The 22,108-nt window shown below is 38.4% G+C and overlaps 2 long non-coding RNA genes across 4 annotated transcripts in view; one reads left to right on the top strand and one right to left on the bottom strand.

Moving 5' to 3' along the window:
- Positions 1 to 22,108, top strand: part of LINC01830 (long intergenic non-protein coding RNA 1830) — a 26,798-nt gene extending 4,690 nt beyond the window's left edge. The window contains exons 1-4 of one of the 3 annotated variants that reach the window (NR_187228.1): positions 3,725 to 3,750; positions 8,942 to 9,011; positions 9,694 to 9,923; positions 21,613 to 22,108. This is a non-coding gene — a long non-coding RNA (long intergenic non-protein coding RNA 1830). Of the gene's footprint in view, positions 1 to 3,724; positions 3,751 to 8,941; positions 9,012 to 9,693; positions 9,924 to 21,612 lie in introns of those variants that run through there. The other 2 variants (NR_187229.1, NR_187227.1) reach the window with 2 other exon arrangements.
- LINC01884 (long intergenic non-protein coding RNA 1884) lies at positions 1,759 to 3,568 on the bottom strand. Its single transcript, NR_110577.1, has 3 exons — positions 3,522 to 3,568; positions 2,859 to 3,042; positions 1,759 to 1,967 (listed from the first exon to the last, which is right to left on the bottom strand). It is a non-coding gene; the product is annotated as a long intergenic non-protein coding RNA 1884 (long non-coding RNA).

Here is a 22,108-nt window from a genome sequence, read left to right as displayed (position 1 = left end):
ATAATGATGGTTGAATCCTACAAATCCTTCTAGCAAATTACCAGACCCGGGGGTGGGCTTGGAGATCTCTGGCACAGGGCCCCTCTCTGAATGTCTAGTCCAAGGACAAGACCATTCATGTTCTTCTCTTAAGATCACTTTCCTTTTTCATATGCATATGTTACCTTGTCTGATTTAGCAGAAACCCTAGGCCTCCAAAAATTAGTGTTCTATTTAGACATTTTCTCAAATTTCTAGATTCACCTGTGTTTCTCTCCTTCAATTTCTCCACCCCAACTGCAGCATATATTTTGTCTTTCGTTATAATCTGCAATGGAAGTGAAGAAGTTGTATTGAAAATACATACAAGCACAGAGAGACAGAAATTGAAAAAGATTGTGATATTCTTATATCTTCAGCTTATTTGGGAGCAAAACATTGTAAAATCTCTTGAGGCTATCTGCTATCCTCAGATGTAAGTCCAGATTTGTTGATTAGAGAGGTTTGTACCTCAGGGTGCTGAAAATAACTTCTAAACCTTTAGAAGTTTTCAGTGGGTTTGAATGTGAATGATGGAGGTTTAAAGCTGCCCATGGGGTCAGAAAGGCATGCACAGAAAGGAGATGCTTGAGCCATTCTCAAACACGCACACAGGACACACACGTTTTAAAGTTCTCACAACCCCAAGTTTTATCTGTAGAGAACAGGGGTTGTGTTGTAGCAAGATTGTAGGTCTCTGTTGTCATTGGTGGTATTGTCTTTGTGCTAGAGACATAGTATGAAGCTAATGTCACCCTTTGTGTGGGCAAAGGAAAGGGATGTCCGTGTATGCAGTGGGGTTTGGAAGGTAAGGCATCAGGGGCAGAGACTTTCCTGAAAGTAGTGACTTGCTGGGAGAGGGATTGTAGTCATACCCCCTATGCTGTCTCTTTGTTCTCTTCCAGCAACATACAGAGTGCTCTCATTCCATCTCAGAGTAGTCTTACTCATCTAGTGTCAGTGTGTCCAATATAGATCCATGACATTTGGGGCAGACACTGCCCTAACACAAATTGTAATTGCAGCCATTTGCTATCACTAGATGAAGCTCATTACCTTATGCAAGTCCATCCAGTTACAAAAAGAAAATATCTTTGGCCTTTGTAAAGAGATGAGAATATTTGCTCACAAGTGATCCTCCGTGATCTATTTAGGAATCTTATCAACAGTTGTGACTGTTATGTGAAATGATATCTGTGGGTGCACAACTGGAACAATAGGAATAATTATTTTTTCTTCTATTAGCTCCTGTAATGAGCAGTTTTCTCCAGAAAGCAGAGAGTATATCAAACTCCACACTGCCCTGGAATTTTAAAAAGCTAAATATGACTTCATTTATACTAAAATCTTTAATTTTCACTGGTGATTGAAACAGAATCAATAGATTTGAGTAACAAGGAAAAAAAGTATTTTCTTTCCAGCTACTGTAATTTCTACTCAGAGTATAATGGCTTTGAACTTTGCTAGGTAATCAAAAATATTAAATTTGCTTTGTCTAGTTTCTTTTAAGATTTAAATTTCTTGTTTATTTTAAATATTTATTGTCTAATTATTTGCATAAAATATGAGCTAAGATTAGATATGTTACGCTACAATATATTTTTCTAAGTTTCTAACAGTTTACTTAGCTTATCTTTAATGCCTCATTACAAATCTCATCAAGACTAATTTATTGGATGTCTTGATGGATTTGTTTTTGTAAATATGCTGGATTGTAAAAACATTGGTAGATTTCAGTTATTTCCAATTGTGTATAATATTTTAATATTCAAAATTCACATCCTTGCAGTAACCTGGTCATGTAGGAATCTTCCCTCTTATGCAGATGATGATATGGAAATTAATGGGTCTTGGTGGAAGGACCAAGGTTGATTTTTTTTTATCTTTATCACTCCTTTTTTCTTCTTTCTTACTTCCTGCAGCTGATTTAAGCATCCATACCTTGATACCTGTAGGACATAATACAGACAGTAGCCTTTGGAATATGTTGTGTATAGAGCAAACCTAATTTAGTGAGAAGTTTTAGTTCATGAACTCACTTATGATAGATAATTCATTCAAATGGCCGTTCCATGGAGAGAGTTTAGTCTACTATTTAGTTGGGTTTAGACTGATAAATGAACTTTGCCCCACCAAACTTCTCCCACTTTAAACCCCAGATCACACCTGTGATGTAGATGTTTGCCTTTGAGAAAATGGGAAACTATGGTCTGGTGGGTGCCTCCACTCTATCTGAGAAGGAACATGAGGACATGCAGCACCTCACACAGACTATCCTCACAGGTCTCAGGTGTCTGCCAAGGCTAGCCAAAGAAGCAAGTGTGCAAAACAAGAACTTCCTGGAAACTGCAATCTTTTTTGACAAATATTACATGGCAAAGCTAAATAAATTTAAGTCCTGAATAAATCCAATTGTCATTGACTATGGGAATACTAGTTTTGGAGAGATGGCATTTATGATACCTTTACTAAACATTATGAAAACCTTTAAACTTCAAATCCAAACTATGACCTTCAAGCAACATCCTACTTCCTTAATAATATGTTTAAATGTCAGTTAAATCATTCTGATGGTGAATCTTTAGAAAACTCTATTGTAATAATCAAATAGTCAAGTAATCCTATCCAGGACAAGAAAAAAGGATGACAAAGAGAAAGAAGGGAGGGGTAAGGGACAGCAACAAAGGCAGGAAAGAGAACAGATAAAAGAATGAGGGTAGGAGTTAATTGCTATGAATCCTGCATGTTTGTACATCTAAGTCTTTGTGCAAAAGGCTAGAATGTCCTGATGAACGTAGGGTGTGACCATTTGAAACAAGATCATTAAAATGATCACTCACCCCAAAATAACACCTTGTGAAGAGCCATATAAATCACCAGCTGCAGTGCTGCCAAATATCTCTGTCTTTGCATTGCTCTTATGGAACCATTTTAAATTAACAATCCCAAAAGGTGAAGATCATGTCTTTATTTAGCCAGCAGATGTTGGATAAACAGTTAGTTGTCCCAGTTTTGTGAGAAGTGCTGTGGAGACAAAATGTATGTATTCAAATCCCTTTTCTTGAAAAGATCATAGGGTAGTTAGGAAACTGACAATTAACTAACAGTTTAAATCCAGCTTCACATAGTATCAGAGAGGAATGGGTATATGAGCAAAGAGAGAGTCGACCAAACTAGCTAACAAAGGTTTCAGGAGGGTCTTGGAGATACAGGTGTCATTAAGAGAAACCTGTGCACCATGTTACGGGTTAAGAATATTAACCAAAGAGCCTCCAATAACTCTTGACATTAGTCAGAAATTAAATTGGAAAGGACACAGACTAGAGGTTGAGAGACGAGTGAGGAGGTTGAGAGGCAGTTCAGGAGAATTGTTTCTGGGAAAGAATAACTAAGGACCCAGGCCATGTTAGAAACAGTGGGTGTAGGATGCAAAGAAATTATTAAAGAAACACTGAGGAGATTGAATGAATAAAACATTAATGTCTGTATCCTTAGCAACTTACACAGTGCCTATAATAGGTAGGTGCTCTGAAAATATTAAGCGAAAGAACAAACAAACCATGTAATACATATGTTAGTATTAACATTGTGGTTGTCATTTCTACGAGGCTATCTCCAAATCATGAGAGTGCAGGCCTGATCTATATTATCACATGCCAGATGACATCATAATGACCCACCTTCCCAACTCTGATTGTAACCCATTAGTCATCCCATGCTCAGTCATGACTGGTAGGTACAAATATTTTTATTGTGGATTCCAAGACTTTTATCACAGCAAATACTTTGCATTTAATTATTTAGGTCAAAAGAAAATATTTTCCATTTAAAATAAGATCATAGATCATTAGCAGGCAATGTGTTTACACTGACAGTCATTCAAAACTTTTTATCTAATCCCCGAGAAAAGGGTTTGGTAACTGTGGGCCATTAAAAAAAAAAATCTGAGGCCTGGTGCAGTGGCACACATCTGTAATCCTACCACTTTGGGAGGATGAGGTGGGAGCATCACTCGAGTTTAGGAGTTCGAGACCTGCCTGGGAAACTTAGTGAGACCCCCATCTCTACAAAAAAATAGAAAACAATGATCCTGGTGTGGTGGTCCATGACTGTAGTCCCATACACTCAGAAGCCTGAGGCAGAAGGATTGCTTGAGTTCAGGAGCTTGAGGCTACACTGAACCACAATCACACCACTTTACTCCAGCCTGGATAACAGAGTGAGAACTTGTCTCTAACAAGATGAAAATAAAAAATCGGGGTCCATCACTTACTAGCTACATGATCCTGAGCAACTTATTCAAATCTCTCTGTACCTCAATTCCATCATCTTACAAAACAGGCATAATTATACTTATTTGGCAGTGCTTAGGAGAAAATGAAATTGGTTCTTATATATAAAGTGCTTAGCAAGTGTCTAAAGGGAGTAGGTGTTCAAGAAATTAAAATGCTATTTCATTCAAAGTCACCAACTAGCAGGGATGACAAAGCAATTAGTGGAGCCATCTTCCTCTCAGTTTTCAAGTCAATTTTCCTATTGGAACCAGGAAACCTCTTAAACTTGCTCACCTACCAGGAAAACGTAATGGTGGTTGATAAAGCATTCTTTGGAGGAACCAAGGTTTTTAGCAACCTCAGTAATTATGGTTTCCTTTGCTGCTGACACTTTCCTTGAAAAACAGAGAACTTCCAGGATCAATAAAACATTCTGGACAAAATGTAATCTTCCAATCATGAAGAATGAGTTCAACGAATGCCACATTTTTCATCCTTCCATTCAGTCATTCAATGATTGTTTATTGAGCATCTATCTGGTATCAGGCACTGTTCTAGCTGTTTTGCATAGGTAATTGAGGCACATGCCCTGCCCTCAAATTATTCACAACCTAATAAGAAACACTAAAACATAAGCAGATGGTTATGTTACAGAGGGGATAGAAATTTGTACAAGAAATTGTAGAAATACAAAGGACCCTATGATCTATTCTAATAGTGCGTTCATGAACAGTTCAATCCATGGGTTATATTTGAGCAACTAGTGCTCAAATGAATAATAAGAGGGGTAAGTGACTGATAATAACTCTAAGGTTAAGAGATGACTTTGATGTCTTTAATATTTGTCACTTTTTGTTTATGTCATGCCACCCTCTCTCAAACTTACATAATTATATGGTTCTATACAGAATAACACCCTATAGATTGTTACTCATTCTCATCCTTAGGCAGGAGTAATGGCAACAAGAGGTCCAGGTCCCATTCCTAGACTTTTGCATCTGAACCATCCACTTGTTCCCTTACACACACACTGTACACATGCACTAATAACCTGGGCTTTACAAGCTCCTTTGATCCAACGTTTAAAGAACAATTCATGACTCATTCCTAAGTGAAATTTTTATGTCTCTCTATGGAGTAGATGGGTGCAGATTCTTGAACAAGATAGACATCAGATGGAGGATGGGAGTACTTTTTGTGCTGCATTATGATGTGGGAGGCAGAAGAGAAAATTCTTTTTTCACTCATGAGATGAGCTGAGCATTTAAGAAAAAAAAAAAAGAGGAAAATGTAGTATATGGGCTTGAACTCAGCATGTAGATCCCAAATACTGAATGAAAGGGAGGGAAATGTATGCCACAGAGTAAAAGGTGTTATTTTCTCATCGTGAGGAAGTCCTGTCTGTATAGTGCCACAGATAGGGCTAAGGTGGACAATGATGCTGTAGGAAGCTCTATAATCATTCTGCAGAATAAAGGGGTTCAGAGCATACTGTGTACAAATAAGAAATGAAATGAGCAGAGGAGTTGGAAGCTAGAAACATGGACTTTTTATTTTAATTTTTCACCTCTAATGTCTTTTGGTATAATTTGCCTTTCATTGTAACTAATTTCTTCATTGCCACATTATCCAATGAAATACTAAGACTCAGTCTAAGAGCCAAGTTTAGTTCATTTGTGTACCTAATTGCTCCTTCCTACTTAGCCCTACTGCTATTACTATAGCCCAGCAAGATCTATAATTCAACTTTTGTGGAGGCAGGAATTATTTGACTTGAAGAGTCCAGTTGGACTGCAGAGACTTGTGAGCCATAGACAAGTGGGACGGAGGGCCTTTGGACAGGTGAAAGAGAGATCAGGAGAAGAACAAAGAAAGAAAGTGATAAGAAGGGGGAAAATAAGTGAAAGGTGAAAGGAGGATCGCTGAGAGCTGGAGACAGCAGTCCAAGCAGGTGGCAGGCTGCAGGCTGAGCAGCCTACTGGAGGTGGCGGCTGGCCAAGTAGATGGCCCACTGTGTCATGGGAGTGGGATCTAGGGTTAGGTGGAGAGTCCAGGTGGGAAGAACATGGAGAGTCCAGGTGCTTACTGGAAAGTTGTGGCTTATGAATTGAAGATTAAGGGCAGCATTCAGGAACCATTGCCCAGAAGGACTGGTAAGAGCTAAGGCAATTTCTATAGTCAGAATGGTAGGGGTGGGAAATTTCCAGGTGGAGAACTGGGACAGATGGACCCATATTAGTGAAAGTGGAACTGAAAGAGATGAGGAGACCTTGGCCCATAAGTAACAGTAAAAACTTCTCTCCTGGGACTGGGTTTCAAGCCAGAGCCAAAATTACTCCCAGGCTGACTTACTGCTAGACTGCCCATCTCCTAGAGAGGAAACTCATTAGATCTTTCAACAAGACAAAATTGGCTCTCAGGCCTAAGATAATATTCAGCATGCATATGGAAACTAACAGATTCCAATATGTGACTTCCCCCCATGTTAGTCTGTCAGGAAGATATTAGGTGGGTCTCTACATTAAGGTCAGGATACACATTTGGTCAAGATGATGGTGATGATGACCTCAATCCTCTGAAAACAATATCTGGTTCCACCTACTCTGAAGAGGACCATGGAGGAAATCTATCAAGGAGACAGTTTTACATTTTAGCTCTAATTAAGATAAACTCAGCGTGGATGCCAGACACAGATAGAGACAAAGAGGCTAGGCTTCCTAGGGCAGTTTGCCACAGAATACTCATTCCACCTTGGGCAATTTGTCCGTGTCTAGCCATGAAAGCCAGTTCCACCAGGCCAGCTCTCCATAGACTTCACCATCCTATTAATTGCAGCTGTTTAACCGAAGGTCTCTTCCTTTCTCTTTGCATTATTTCATAGTAAAATTCAAAATAGCTTCCTAGTTAAGGTTAGCCTTGAACTAAACCCTAGAATTTTCGGCACTTTACAGTCAGAGGTATGTTGGTTCTAGCTTACCTGTTTTTCTTACAGTACTTGATTATGTTGATAAAAATATTTTGAGAAGCTTCCCAGGCTGTTTGAGAAACATATAATTGGCTAATATATGTTAGAACGGTATTTGGTGGATATTACATAACCAAGGTGCTTGCCTCTCTGGTTCTCTGCTACTTCCTACTTTTCTCTTGCATCAGGGCCAGCAAAGAACAGGAATGGGGGGGATCTACTCCTGCCTTCTAGTGTGCATGGAAAAGAGGGCTCAAGCCCTCAGTGGCCCCACTCCATCCTCACCAGGCTCCCAGATGCTTTAGCCTGGGGTATAGACCAGGGCTCTAATTATAATTGCCCTCAACACAAAATGGGACATTGAACAAGCTGTGACCCCTTCCTCAACAAAAGGGCAACACATGGTTCCTGAGAGCTTTTAAGTTCTATATATAGAAGAAAGGAGGAAAAAGATATTGGGAGGAACAGAATTGATTCAAATAAAATGCTGCTAGTGGACAGATGATGTAGTTATTTGTGAAGCAAATGTTAGGTCAGGCTTTATTTTAATTTCTATTTATTGAGCATTTAGGCAGTTTCTGTGATATATTCCATATATATATATATATATATATATAAAATTATATATAATTTTTTTACAGAATCCATATGAATTTGATATTTGTATACTCAGGTTAGACTTGACCAAATAAAAAGAATGAGTGATGGCTTAAGTTTATGTAGAGGGTATAGGGCAGCACCAGGTATCTAAGCCAGGTCTGATTCCAGTGTTGCTACCTTCTTGACTGCTATGACGTACCTCCAATGGCTGAGGCATTAAACTGCTTTTTGCTTCTTACTCTGCCTGTAGATTAAAATATGAGACATCATGCCATTATATAGGCAATATCTAGAAATTGTCATGATGGGCCAATAGAAAGGAAACTCAGAAAGGAGGACAAGGAGGTAGACAAAAATTGATCTGGTTGGACATTATGATACCCAAAGAGGAATCCAAGAAACACATTGTTTAGTGAAGTGGTAGTATTTATTATTTAATGAATGAGGCTACTACAGATGGCGTTTTGGGCTTGGCCCATCAATCTGATTATGACATGGCCTTCATCAACAGGTAAGAGTACAGATAGCACAGTCCAATCTCATGAGACAAAGATCATGAGAAGAAGATCAAGTATTGGCTACATAATGCCGATGTTTGCAAAGCTGCAGTCACAGAGAATCTCAATTTCTAAGCATGAAAGCAGCCTGAGCCAACATGATAGATGACAAATGAAAAGCTGTGAAGAGAGTGTCCCTGGGTTCCTTGGCATTGTACTACCTCAAACTCTTGTTCCCATCAGCTAGTGGGCAGAGGCTGATAATGTAGTGTTTGCCTCTCCCGGTATTGTTAAGGGGACACAGCCTGTGTGAGTTTTGGCAGCTGATGTCTTTCAAAGAATTAGTCAATTTCATTTAAGCTAATAATCAAATGTGTGGGCGTAGGGTTGTTCATAGTATTTCTTACTATCTTCTTCAGTGTTTATGGTATCAGTATTGATGGCCTCTCTTTCATTTCTGATATTAGTTATCTGTACTCTGCTTGTAAAAAGCAAACAGAGGTCAGAGCTGATCTATTGCTTCACTATTTGAAGGGCTATGATTGTCATATGTTAAGAAGGTAATGCTGTCATTCTCTATCATTCAGTAGGTGGTACAGACTGGACATAATTGTTAAGAGGAAGAAAGAAGAGAAGGAATAGAATCAAACCAGAGAGGTAAGTGATAGTGAAAAACAAGAGACAAAGAGATTTAGAAAGCAGAAGGTGAGTAGCGCTGAGCTCCAACTAGGAAGCATCATCCATAGTCCAAGAACCTCAGGCTAGATTAGAGACAGTGCTATAACCCTAAGTGCCCTAGAGGGCTCCCTAGCTTTTCTTCCCTCCAGGTAATAGAATAAAGCTTTGTTTTTTTTTCTGTGTAGAGCTCTAGTTTTCGTTATATTATCAACTACTTTAGGGAAACACTTGGAGACAGGCATCATGTAGTACTTATAATTCAGATGTTGGAAAGTCCAGCAACGGCCCAACTTATACTGAATTTCTCAGAAGAGGAATAATTTATTGTAAGATTTTTGTTTAATTTTCAGAGAGTCCTATAAATGTGAGAAATATTTGATAATAGAATTGTAGAATTGGAAGGGAAATTTACTACAACAGCCATTTATTTTACAGATAAATTGACCGAGGTCCAGAAGTGTCCAGAAGTACCTATAACTATTTAGTTAATAGGTACTTCTAAAACTCAAGTCTCCAAACCCCAATCTCAGTGTTTGTCTTGTAGCAAACAAGTTTCATCCTCAAATTTGCATTCTTGAACACATGTTTTCACGTCCGTCAAGTACACAAACATGAATTCTTGCTCAACCATCCAATTATCTAATCTGCTCCCTTTACTCAGAATAAAGACTTGCTGGCAGAGGCTATGAGGGTCTGCTCAATGCTCATGTCAGTCATTCTACAGTAGCTTCAGCTGCCTCAAACTTGCAAGTGACAGTCTGTAAAACAGCACCATTCAAACCCACCAGAGAAATGACGCGCATTAAGGATGCAAACTGGAATGACAACATGAAATTACAGTTAACATTTAGTGACTATATATGCATATTACAATAACTCAGCATTTCAAAAGTAGGTATTTATCTGATGTTTCTGTCATGTTAATAAACAATTTTGTCCAAAGGATTCCCATTTACCTTTTCACCAAACAGTCAATGCAATGTGTCTTAACTTTGTATGATGCATCTTTAATCTTAATATTTTACTTATCACACAACAAAACTGAAGTATTCTATGACCAGTTAGACCAGCAGTTTAATAAACAAAAAATTGTTCAAATCCAAATTATATAGGTATTATACACACACATGTGTATGTATGGCTACAGCACATGTGTATAATACATGTATGTATGTGTGTGTATATATATCTTGTAATGTATTTATTTAGGGAAATTTTATTGAGCATTTTCTATGTGCCAGGCATTGCCGTAGGCACTGGAATACAGCAGTAAATGAGATTACCACGTTTCTTGTCTCAGGAAGTTACATTCTAAAGAAGAGAGATAGGAAATAATTTTTAAGAAAGAGAAGAGAATTTAACACAACTATGTATGCTCTGAAGGAAATTAAAGCTTATCTGAAAGTATGAAAGTTAATAGTTGTAGGCTGGGTGTGGTGGCTCATGGCTGTAATCCCAGCACTTTGGAAGGCCGAGGCAGGCAGATCACTAGGTCAGGAGTTCAAGACCAATCTGGCCAACATGGTGAAACCCCGTCTCTACTAAAAATACAAAAATTAGCTGGGTGTGGTGGTGTACTCTTGTAATCCCAGCTACTTGGGAGGCTGAGGCAGGAGAATCACTTGAACCCAGGAGGTGAGGCGGAGGCTGCAGTAAGCTGAGATTGTGCCACTGCACTCCAGCGTGGGTGATAGAGCAAGACTCAGTCTCAAAAAAAAAAGAAAGAAAAGAAAGTTAATAGTTGTAGAAGAAAGACTCTTCTAGTAAGACACACCTGAATGTATATTTCTCAATGCATTGTTGAGCTAAAAGAAAAGTTAAAAAGGTGTTTTATAGCTTATGAAATATAAGAAAGCCCAAATCAGGAGAAAGCAAGAATCGATTTTGCTTGAGGAAGTTCTACTTATTCTTGATGATCTAACACATGGAAAGTTGGAGCAACTACATGGATCTAGGTGGACTGAGGGCCAGCTTTCTCAGAAGACTGAAAGAAAGCATAAGTGCACCCTACAGTGGGAAATGTGTGGACTGCTACCCCTGTTGGTACTGTGTCTAAATAATAATTATTGTAAAAAAATCTAATGAGAATTCCAACTCACAAGACTTCTCTCGAGTTCTGAGGCTTATAATTCATACTTTCTGTGCCTCCCAACCCCCTTCCCACCAAAAATGTAATTTAAACTGGTTCTAAATTGCTAGTACTTCAGGCATTAGTCAAAGGCAAATGATTATCCTCTCTGGAATAACATATTTTAAACATAGATCTCATGTCAACAAATATTCACAGCTGGAGCACCAAGAAACGTATTCACAATACAAAGTTATTAAATCATAAAATTAACAATCATGAGCAAGAGAAAACAGAAATAACAAATTACAGAGATTAATTATGAGATCAGAGATGATCAGTATATTTTATATTTTTAAATAAATAAAAGACTATTAAAGTATAACGACAGATACTATTAAAATCAACAGGGATATATTTGCAAAAGAACTAGTTACAATGGCAAGACACAGTGATTGAAATGATTAATTCAATAGACAGATTAAACATTCAATGAGATGTAGCTGAAGAGGGAATTAGCCAACTGGATGACAGATCTGACAATATAAAATGACAATGGAATGCTGCACAGAGAGGTGAGAAAACAGAAAATTAGAGAGAGAAAGCAGAAAACTGAGAGAGTTAAAATGCAGACGACTAAGTGGGCAATTTCTAACTATGTTGTAATGATTAGGGTACAGGCCAAAGTACTGTGATTAAGACACCCTAAAATACAGTGGTTTATATAAAACAGAGTTTCTATTTTTCTTCTACAATAGTCTAGAAAAAAATGGTTTATAAGTGGTAGGAAACCTCTGCCATTCTTGATATATCTTTTCTAATGTTACTTAAATATTATTCTCTCTTACCAATAAGAATACGTGGAAATGAGAAGTTCCTTACAGTACTGTCACTCACACTAATGACCAGAACTCATAACTCAGCCGCATAAACACAATTAGCCACACTTTCAATCTCAACAATCGCAAATCAAATTTCCCTCATGCTTCCAGTGTCTATCTCTTCCACTACCAGCTGCAGAAAACTCTGGTTTTAAAGGGGTTTATAGGATTACATTACACTTATTCAGATAATCTCCTTATCTTATATTCAACTATGCCATATAGTGTAACATTATCATGGGAGAGCTATCTCATCATATTCACGAGTTCTAGAGATTAGGACATGGAACCTTGGAAGCCAATTTTCAAAATCTGCCTACCGCATAAAGTAAGCACAAACTTAAGAAGGAGATAATTTCAAAAAATAATAGTAGTAAATTAGTGAAGAATAAAACAAAGATATAATGGAGAGAATATCAAAAAAGATTAAGTGTGTCCATTGAAAAGACAAAATAGACAATTCAATTTTCCTTATAAACTAGAGAGAAAACCCCAAATAAACAATATTAGGCATAAAAAATGGGCCATAGCTACAGAGAAACACAAGTTAAAGTAATGAAATGCTAATACATTCAGAGCATATATGTAGGAAATACATTTCTAGGTAAATATAAGGAGCAAAAATAGATTTAAGAAATAAAAAGCATTAATGGTTTTAAACTCATTAAGGAAAATTGCATTAAATCTTTCTCTGAAGAAAATAGCATTCATTTTATAGGTCAACTCAACCAAACATTTATGAAACACGTAATCCCAATCTGACATCCTCACAAGATTGTAACCTGTTACCTAAAGACAGTTGAACTTGGTTAAGTTAAGGGGTTGGGCAAACAGGTAGAATTGTGGTTGGAGTTGGGGGAGATAAGTGGGTGCATGTTTATGCAAGGAGGTTGAGGACATTGTGTGCCTCTGATCTTTAGGAGAAGTGACCTTATGCTCTCTGGTCACTCACTATTTTATATGAATATTAAAAGAGTCTTGAAGGGGAACAAACAACAGGTGCCAAAAGGTACTGATAGTGCAGTCCATCCACCTTTATATCTCGGTTGTGGTGGAAGTTTGAGCTGATTTAATATAAGAGGCCTCAGACCAAAGGTTTTCTGAATTTGTTTTTATGTTTTGTTAATTTTCTTATATCTCTGTTTTTGTTCTTGTGATACTAGTTATAACCCAGCTAATCTCTTCAATTTTCTTCTACCTTAGCAGTTTGTATATGTCCTTGTTCCTCTTTTATTCAGTTCAAGATCCCCATAATTATGGAGTCACAATTTTTATAGGTTCTATGAATAACTAAATCCAGGTAGAAATCAATATCGAATGTATAGGATTTAGTTTATTCTCGTTAAGTGAATTTTGACTATTGAATGCTAACTGATATCCTAAAATAGTTCATTAGCTACTATTCCTTCATCTCATACATCTGTACCTCTTCCTGTCACCAAGTGCTCAATTTGTATTGACGAGCAGCTTCTCCACTGACAAAGAGACTGACTTTATTGCATGGCACTGAAGAAAGAAAATATGACTTGTGGATTAAAGATCCAATTTAATTCTCACTTCTTATGAAATAAATAAACAAATTGTACATCTTTCCAAGATTCTGAGGCATATATAATCGAGCCAAATTGGAAGCTAGAGGTATGTTAGGTTATAATACTAATTGCTAGACTGTGGTCAACAGGCAAGACTAGACATAATCTGTACAACATTGGAAGACACTAACATCCCAAAAAGGGTCATCTTGAAAACTACATCCCTAAAGTAAAGGCTGCAATTGAGAATTAGTAGACATAGCCAAGATACTAGGAGGCAAGAATATAGTGGGGGTGTAGAGCAAAGTTCAACTCTTTCTTGCCCAGGACTGTTTGAAGCATAGATGCTCCTTGACTTATGATGGGGTTACATTTCAATAAACCTATTGTAAGGTGAAAATATCTTAAGTCAAAAATGCATTGAATACAGATAACCTACTAAACAGCATAGCTCAGCCCAGCCTAGCTTAAATATGCTCAGAACAATACATTGGCCTGTAGTTGGGCAAAATTATCTAACACAAAGCCTTTTTTATAACAAAGTGCTGAATATCTCATGTATCTTATTGAATACTGGACTGAAAATGAAAAACAGAATGGCTGTATCAGTTGTTTACCCTCATGAATGTGTGGCTGACTGGGAGCTGTGGCTCACTGCCAGTGTCCAGCATGGAGACAGCAAAAGAGAGAGAGGGAGAATAGCACCCCATCATAGCATAGTATCCCTGGAAAGGATCAAAATTCAAAGTATGGTTTCTATTGAATATGTATCACTTTTGTACCATCATAAAGTTAAAAAATAAGTTGAAAAATAACATCAGAGACCATTTGTATGTCATGCACTCAAGCTCTGAAGTATTTTCTGCCTACAGAAGCTTAAAGATATCAACTGGATGCTGAAAGTAAACAATTTTTGGAACTGGATTATTTTTTATAGTCCTCCTCGCTCAGTTATTCTGTGATATATAGATGACTTTTACTAAAAATCTAGGAGCAACTGGATAAGCACATTGCAAATCCTGATCACTTATGAAGAGAACTTTCTGTATGAGTTTGTGAAGACAGAGTTCCATTTTGTTAGAGAAAATCAATCTTCCCTACTGAGCATTGAAAAATCTTATTAATGATACCTTCAAAATTCCACTTTGCCTCAACATTCTGGGGATTATGAGGCAGGAATCTTTTTTTTTTTTTTTTTTTTTTTTTTTTTGCCTCCTCTATGCATGACCCTGTGTCAGTTTCTTTAGCATTTTTCTCTAAACTTTGGTTTTTCCTGTGTAGAGAATATGTTAACTCCCTTTCACAGCTGGTTCATATAAATTAAATTAATTATTAAATGTATGTCTAGTAAAGTTCCCGGCAAGTTATAAATGTTACTTAAATATTATTTTTATTATCAGTATTATTATTCCCAGTAATAGTCATTTTATAGATCTATTTTATTAATTAATTATTAGCAAACATTTACTGATGCTTGGGAAGACACTGAAGTAGATGCTGAGATGGCAGCAGAAAATTTTTGCACAAGATCTGTGTCTCGGTTAGTTTGTAATATGACTGGAATGAGAAATCACATAGGCACATGCAAGCAGAGCTGCAGGCTATAGGAGCCAAAAGAGGAGCTCAGAAAGTCAAGTTTAATCTATTTCAATGATATCAGATGACAGGGCTGGAGAGAGGTCCCTGAAGACTGGGTCTCAGATGAGGTAGGTCCTGGGGTGTGGAATTAACTCACCGGTGAGGCTTTTGTTTGATTGTGTTCTTAGGAGAAAAGGCATATGAATTTATTTAATGTGTATGTACAAGAACCTTCAGAACGAAGACCCAACCCCCATCCCCCCATAGGGTACAGAAGCTTATATACCATCTTGAGGTTACAGAAAGAATGAGGTTTCAGAGAATGGCCCAGAATGGGTTATGATGACAAATCAGATTATAGAAGGGAGAAAAGAGGAGGTTTTACTAGGCAAGGTGGTCTTGTTACGTAGTTGAAACTTCACAGGTAGCAGCCCTCAGAGAAAAAGGTGGTCAGTATTTCTTTTCAGGCCTTTAGAGGAGTCAGCCTCTCTGTTAATCTTTCCTAGATCCAGACAAGGCCAGGCCTGGCTGCATTAGTGCAGATTATTTTTTTTATTTATTTTTTATTATACTTTAAGTTTTAGGGTACATGTGCACAACGCGCAGGTTAGTTACATATGTATACATGTGCCATGTTGGTGTGCCGCACCCAGTAACTCGTCATTTAACATTAGGTATATCTCCTAATGCTATCCCTCCCCCATCCATCCTCTCACACCACAACAGGCCCTGGTGTGTGATGTTCCCCTTCCTGTGTCCATGTGTTTTCATTGTCCAATTCCCACCTATGAGTGAGAACATGCGGTGTTTGGTTTTTTGTCCTTGCGATAGCTTGCTGAGAATGATGGTTTTCAGCTTCATCCATGTCCCTACAAAGGACATGAACTCATCCTTTTTATGGCTGCATAGTATTCCATGGTGTATATGTGCCACGTTTTCTTAATCCAGTCTATCATTGTTGGACATTTGGGTTGGATCCAAGTCTTTGCTATTGTGAATAGTGCCGCAATAAACATATGTGTGCATGTATCTTTATAGCAGCATGATTTATAGTCCTTTGGGTATATACCCAGTAATGGGATGGCTGGGTCAAATGGTATTTCTAGTTCTAGATCCCTGAGGAATCGCCACACTGACTTCCACAATGGTTGAACTAGTTTACAGTCCCACCAACGGTGTAAAAGCATTCCTATTTCTCCACATCCTCTCCAGCACCTGTTGTTTCCTGACTGTTTAATGATCGCCATTCTAACTGGTATGAGGTGGTGTCTCATTGTGGTTTTGATTTGCATTTCTCTAATGGCCAGTGATGATGAGCATTTTTTCATGTGTCTGTTGGCTGCATAAATGTCTTCTTTTGAGAAGTGTCTGTTCATATCCTTCACCCACTTTTTGATGGGGTTGTTTGTTTTTTTTTTTGTAAATTTGTTTGAGTTCATTGTAGATTCTGGATATTAGCCCTTTGTCAGATGAGTAGGTTGCAAAAATTTTCTCCCATTTTGTAGGTTGCCTGTTCACTCTGATGGTAGTTTCTTTTGCTGTGCAGAAACTGTTTAGTTTAATTAGATCCCATTTGTCAATTTTGGCTTTTATTGCCATTGCTTTTGGTGTTTTAGACATGAAGTCCTTGCCCATGCCTATGTCCTGAATGGTATTGCCTAGGTTTTCTTCTAGGGTTTCTATGGTTTCAGGTCTAACATTTAAGCCTTTAATCCATCTTGAATTAATTTTTGTATAAGGTGTAAGGAAGGGATCCAGTTTCAGCTTTCTACATATGGCTAGCCAGTTTTCCCAGCACCATTTATTAAATAGGGAATCATTTCCCCATTTCTTGTTTTTGTCAGGTTTGTCAAAGATCAGATGGTTGTAGATATGTGGCATTACTTCTGAGGGCCCTGTTCTGTTCCATTTGTCTATATCTCTGTTTTGGTACCAGTACCATGCTGTTTTGGTTACTGTAGCCTTGTAGTATAGTTTGAAGTCAAGTAGCATGATGCCTCCAGCTTTGTTCTTTTAGCTTAGGATTGTCTTGGCAATGCAGGCTCTTTTTTGTTCCATATGAACTTTAAAGTAGTTTTTTCCAATTCTGTGAAGAAAGTCATTGGTAGCTTGATGGGGATGGCATTGAATCTATAAATTACCTTGGGCAGTATGGCCATTTTCACGATATTGATTCTTCCTACCCATGAGCATGGAATGTTCTTCCATTTGTTTGTATCCTCTTTTATTTCATTGAGCAGTGGTTTGTAGTTCTCCTTGAAGAGGTCCTTCAGGTCCCTTGTAAGTTAGATTCTTAGGTATTTTATTCTCTTTGAAGCAATTGTGAATAGGAGTTCACTCATGATTTGGCTCTCTGTTTGTCTGTTGTTGGTGTATAAGAATGCTTGTGATTTTTACACATTGATTTTGTATCCTGAGACTTTGCTGAAGTTGCTTATCAGCTTAAGGAGATTTTGGGCTGAGACAATGGGGTTTTCTAGATATACAATCATGTCATCTGCAAACAAGGACAATTTGACTTCCTCTTTTCCTAACTGAATACACTTTATTTCCTTCTCCTGCCTGATTTTTTTTTAATGTTTATTTTAAGTTTAGGGGTACACGTGAAGGTTTGTTACATAGGCAAACACAAGTCATGGGAGTTTGTTGTACATATTATTTCAGCACCCAGGTATCAAGCCCAGTACCCAGTAGTTAACCTTTTCTGCTCCTCTCCCTCCTCCTACCCTCCCCCGTCAAGCAGACCCCAGTGTCTGTTGTTTACTTCTTGGTGTTCATAAGTTCATTTAGCTCCCATTTATAAGTGAGAACATGTAGTATTTGGCTATTACCCTTAGCAAACTAATGCAGGAGGCTCTTTGCTAAGGGACATTAATGCATGTGGGTGGAGAGTGTGGGGACACACATGGCAACACCTCTAATCATGGATCTCTGTGTTCATTAATTAAGATTCATTTAGCAGACACCCTGCTTTGTAAACTGTATTATTTCCCATGGCATAATAAGGAATATATGAGGATCTTTGTCCCTGATTGATGGCACACAGCTCCTAAAGTCCTTGGAATCTCCAGGGGATTAGTGTCTTTTGTATGCTAATGATGTGATTGGTGTCTTGGGGCTCCAGACAGCTTTAGAATGGCAACTGCTCACCAGGAAGATCAAGGCATGACTAGAAGTTGGAACTTTCAGCCTCAAGCAGTGACCCCTGGGGAGGGGAGAGATTCTAAAGGTTGAGACCAATCACCAATGGCCAATAATTTAATCAATTATGCCTATGCAATGAGACCTGCATAAAAACCCTAAACAGTGGGGTTTGGAGAGCTTCTGAGTTGCTGGGAGTGCGGCATGCCCAGAGTGATCATGGGAATTCTGCACACGCTCTCCCCCAATACATTGCATTTTGTATCTCTTTTATTTGGCTATTCCTGAGATGTATCCTTTACAATAAATAATGAAGTATTTTCTTGAGTTCTATGAACTGTCCTAGAAAAGTAGCAAAACTTAAAAGGGGATAATGAAAACCCTCGAATTTATATCCAGTCAGAAGTACAGGTGACAGCCTGGGACTTAGGACTGGTGTCTAAAGTGGGCATGGTCTTGTGGGACTGAGCTCTTAACTCATGGGCTCTGATGCTAACTCTAGGTAGATAGTGTCAGAACAGAATTGAATTGTAGGATATCTAGTTGGTTTCTAGAGAGCCGGAGAATTTGTTGTTGGTGTCAGAAAGCAGTGCAGACTATGCTCGTTAATTTGGCAGACACCTGCTTTATAAGTTGTATTATATCCCTAGTGTAAAGGAAGTTCACAGCAGTAACTCCCAATAAAGGTGTGTCTTTGTGTAATTTTAACCACTACCAGAGACAGACACACTCACTGAAGGTTGGTTTACAGTATCTGTGCAGCTGATAACAAAGCTGTTCAAAGGAATCCAGAGCAAGTTTCAGGGAGGAGAACCCAGGCTGGACTGAGAGGGAAGCTGGAAGTAGCAACAACGTTAATGACTTCATTCTGTTGGGTGCACCCAGTCAGGAATCTGAACTATCTCCTCCTCTTGGGGTCATGTTTTACCAGCCAAGGGGCTTCAGGCCAATGCTTGTGGATAAATCTCAAGAGACAGACCTTGTTATGGGGTCAGTGATGTTTGCAAGTGGCCCCTACATGCTGGCCTGGCTGCATGAATGTGAAGACGGATGGCTTTTCTGACCTAGACCACACCTACTTCATGACCTGGAAAGCTGGAGGCGACATCCTGAATTGTTAGCAAAACATTACATATTACATATATACATGTTTTCCTGACCTTTGTCAGTAGCTTTGCATCATCTGAAAGAGAGGAGAGATTTTCATGCTTGCAGAGGGATAGGAGGAGATGAGGAGGGAGGGGAGAGAGCCAGAAACCAAAAAAAGAGAAGGAGGAGACCAGTGGGAGGGAGCGCATTTGTTCCAAAAGCAATTTACTCAGTCGGTCATTTCCAGTATTCTCTGGCTATTACTAAGGTAGAGAAAGAAATACGATGCTGGACAAGAACTGTCTCTCTTCCTCAGCCAAAATTCCTGCTGACAGACTCTGCCCAGGGACCATTTCTCTTCCATGACGTTCTGCACAATGCCAGTTGCAGGAGGTGACCACGTGGCTGAGTGCAGGAGCAATGGAGATGGGCAGAGAATCCTGACCCTTCCTTAAAACCCCCATTGTCTTCTGCACTTGCAGGAGTTATTGAATGGCAAGGGCAAGAGAAGGACACCCCATCAGACTGTGATGCGAGTTTGATAAGAGGCAGGTATGCCCAGGGAATGGCCAGGGTCCACAGCCACTCTCTCACCGAGCTTTGTGAAATATTATTAGTAGTGGTGTTTTATTTATTCAGGCCCCATTCTCTGAGGATTCCAAATGCTATACAAACATATTTAAAGTAAGCATCCTGCCTTTGCTCATAAATTCTCTCAGGCCTATGTTTTGTAGCAAGTAGCAGGTGAATATGGGGCTGTTCTTTGTTCATTTGTTTTGTTTTATAAAAACAAATGTGGAATCAGAATTTGGGGATATCCAGGCAGTCCACATGTCATTGGCTGAGCAAGAGTCTTCTTTAATGCCAAAATTTTATATGCCTATTTTACACAGTAGCTTCTCCATGACCCAACTTTCCAAGTTACAAAGAAATGCACTATGTCCTCTATTCTGGTTCAATTTGGAGTTCTTAGTCAAAATGTTCTCTTTCTTATTTTCCTGACAACCTGCAAACTTGTGTCTGTGTTATATTGGCCTATGCATATAATTTAAAAACAATAACAAGAAAGAAGGAAAGAAGAAAAAAAGGAAAGAAAGAGAAAGAAGGAGGGAGGATGGCAGAAAGGAAAGGAAAGGAAGAAAACTTCGATCTTCTCTTATTCTCAGTCATTTTAGGGGCTAAAGTGAGGGAGCTAAAAATACTGTTTTCTAGAGTAGTATGGGTACTATGCGAATAAAGAGAAAGTATAAGTGTGAAATGTGACTTGTGTTACATCACTTTTGAATGCCATTAGCAAGTTCTGGGTGGTAAGAATGTTTGAGAGTAATACTCTTTAAATCACGCTCCATGAATAATATTTCCACAGGAAGTGGTGGTTGGGCTATGGAAGTCAGGGACTGGTGAATAGATACTTTACTTCCACTTTAATAGCCAATATTCTACTTTAGTTTTTTAATAATGAGCTTGTGCATACTACTTATGTCTAAAAATGTTCAGTTACTTGAAGCATAAAATAAACATTTAGCAATTACTCTTTTTAGAACAATTACTAGTATTTTATAAAAAGTAATAACGGCAGCTCTCTTAAGAGTTTATTAGCAGTGTCTGGCACAGAATAGCTGTTTAATAAATATTCACTGAATGAATATATGTATATGTGTATGACTGTCTGCTCACCCAGACATGTTCACTAAACAATAACACAAAACACTTTTACACTTGTAATCCAGAGAACACTGTAATTCAATCTAAGTTGGCTCCTTCAGACATGGTCTCATACCAACAAGATGAAGCTATTTTACCACAGGAGACTTTGCTAGAAGTTTTGTTTTTTAATGATCATCTCTGTGTTTGTTTTTAAGCCAGCCAGTAGTGTTGTAATCAGACTTTGTTTTATAGATTTTTGCTCTTAAAAATCTACTCACTATTTCTGTATCCCTTGAAAGCTGACAGCAGAACTGGCAAAATGTCAAGAATGATTCACAAAAATGCCAATACAGGATATTCTTCAACAGAAGGAATACATCTTTGGAAGATTCCCTGTCTGGGTTAATTAGTGTTCTTTCTGAATCTCTCACAGAAATATCTTAGAGCTGCCTTTATTAATGGTTTTAACTATAGTATAGAAGCCCTGACCAGGCTTTTAGTTTGGACTTAATACAGTGATATCTGCTCTGACAATCCCTGTCCTTTGATTAAAAAGGGGTTTCAAGAACACTCATCATTAGCTATTGTTATAAGAAATCAGCTCCTCAGCATGGGGTTTAGTCTTTGAAACTTTTTTTTTCCAGCCCAGAAATATGGATGGCTTTGAAAGAAATGCCCCGTGATTACCTGGAGTCAGATGGAGCATCAGCCCAGAATTCCACATGAGGAAGTCATGGGTGCTGGTTTTTTTCACTCTGCACTGCTCCCCAGAAGTTCTCTACATGAAAGGATTCATTTATTCAGAATCAACTCTCTTCCCTGTCAAAATGCATTAACCAGAACCCTGAAGGTTGAGTGAGGCTGACAGACTCTGACAATTCCCTCCCATAGAGACCCCCTTCTGAAGTTGCTGATCTTCTTTCCCCTTTACCTGCCCCCATGCTGGATTCTTGGATGTGGATGATGGGGGAGGTAATATGGGAAGAATTTTATATCTTGAGGGATACTTCTTATTCTGCGATTGTATACTGTGTTTAAAGTCATTTTATCTAGGCAGGGGTGAACTACAAATAGCTTCTCCGTATCCTTCTGTTCCCTTCTCCTTGCCCTGAGAGACACAAGTAATAATTACTTTCTAAA

The sequence above is a fragment of the Homo sapiens genome, chromosome 2 (assembly GCF_000001405.40).
Source record: "Homo sapiens chromosome 2, GRCh38.p14 Primary Assembly".
Lineage (NCBI taxonomy): Eukaryota > Metazoa > Chordata > Mammalia > Primates > Hominidae > Homo > Homo sapiens.
This window is presented reverse-complemented; position numbering and strand designations above follow the sequence as displayed.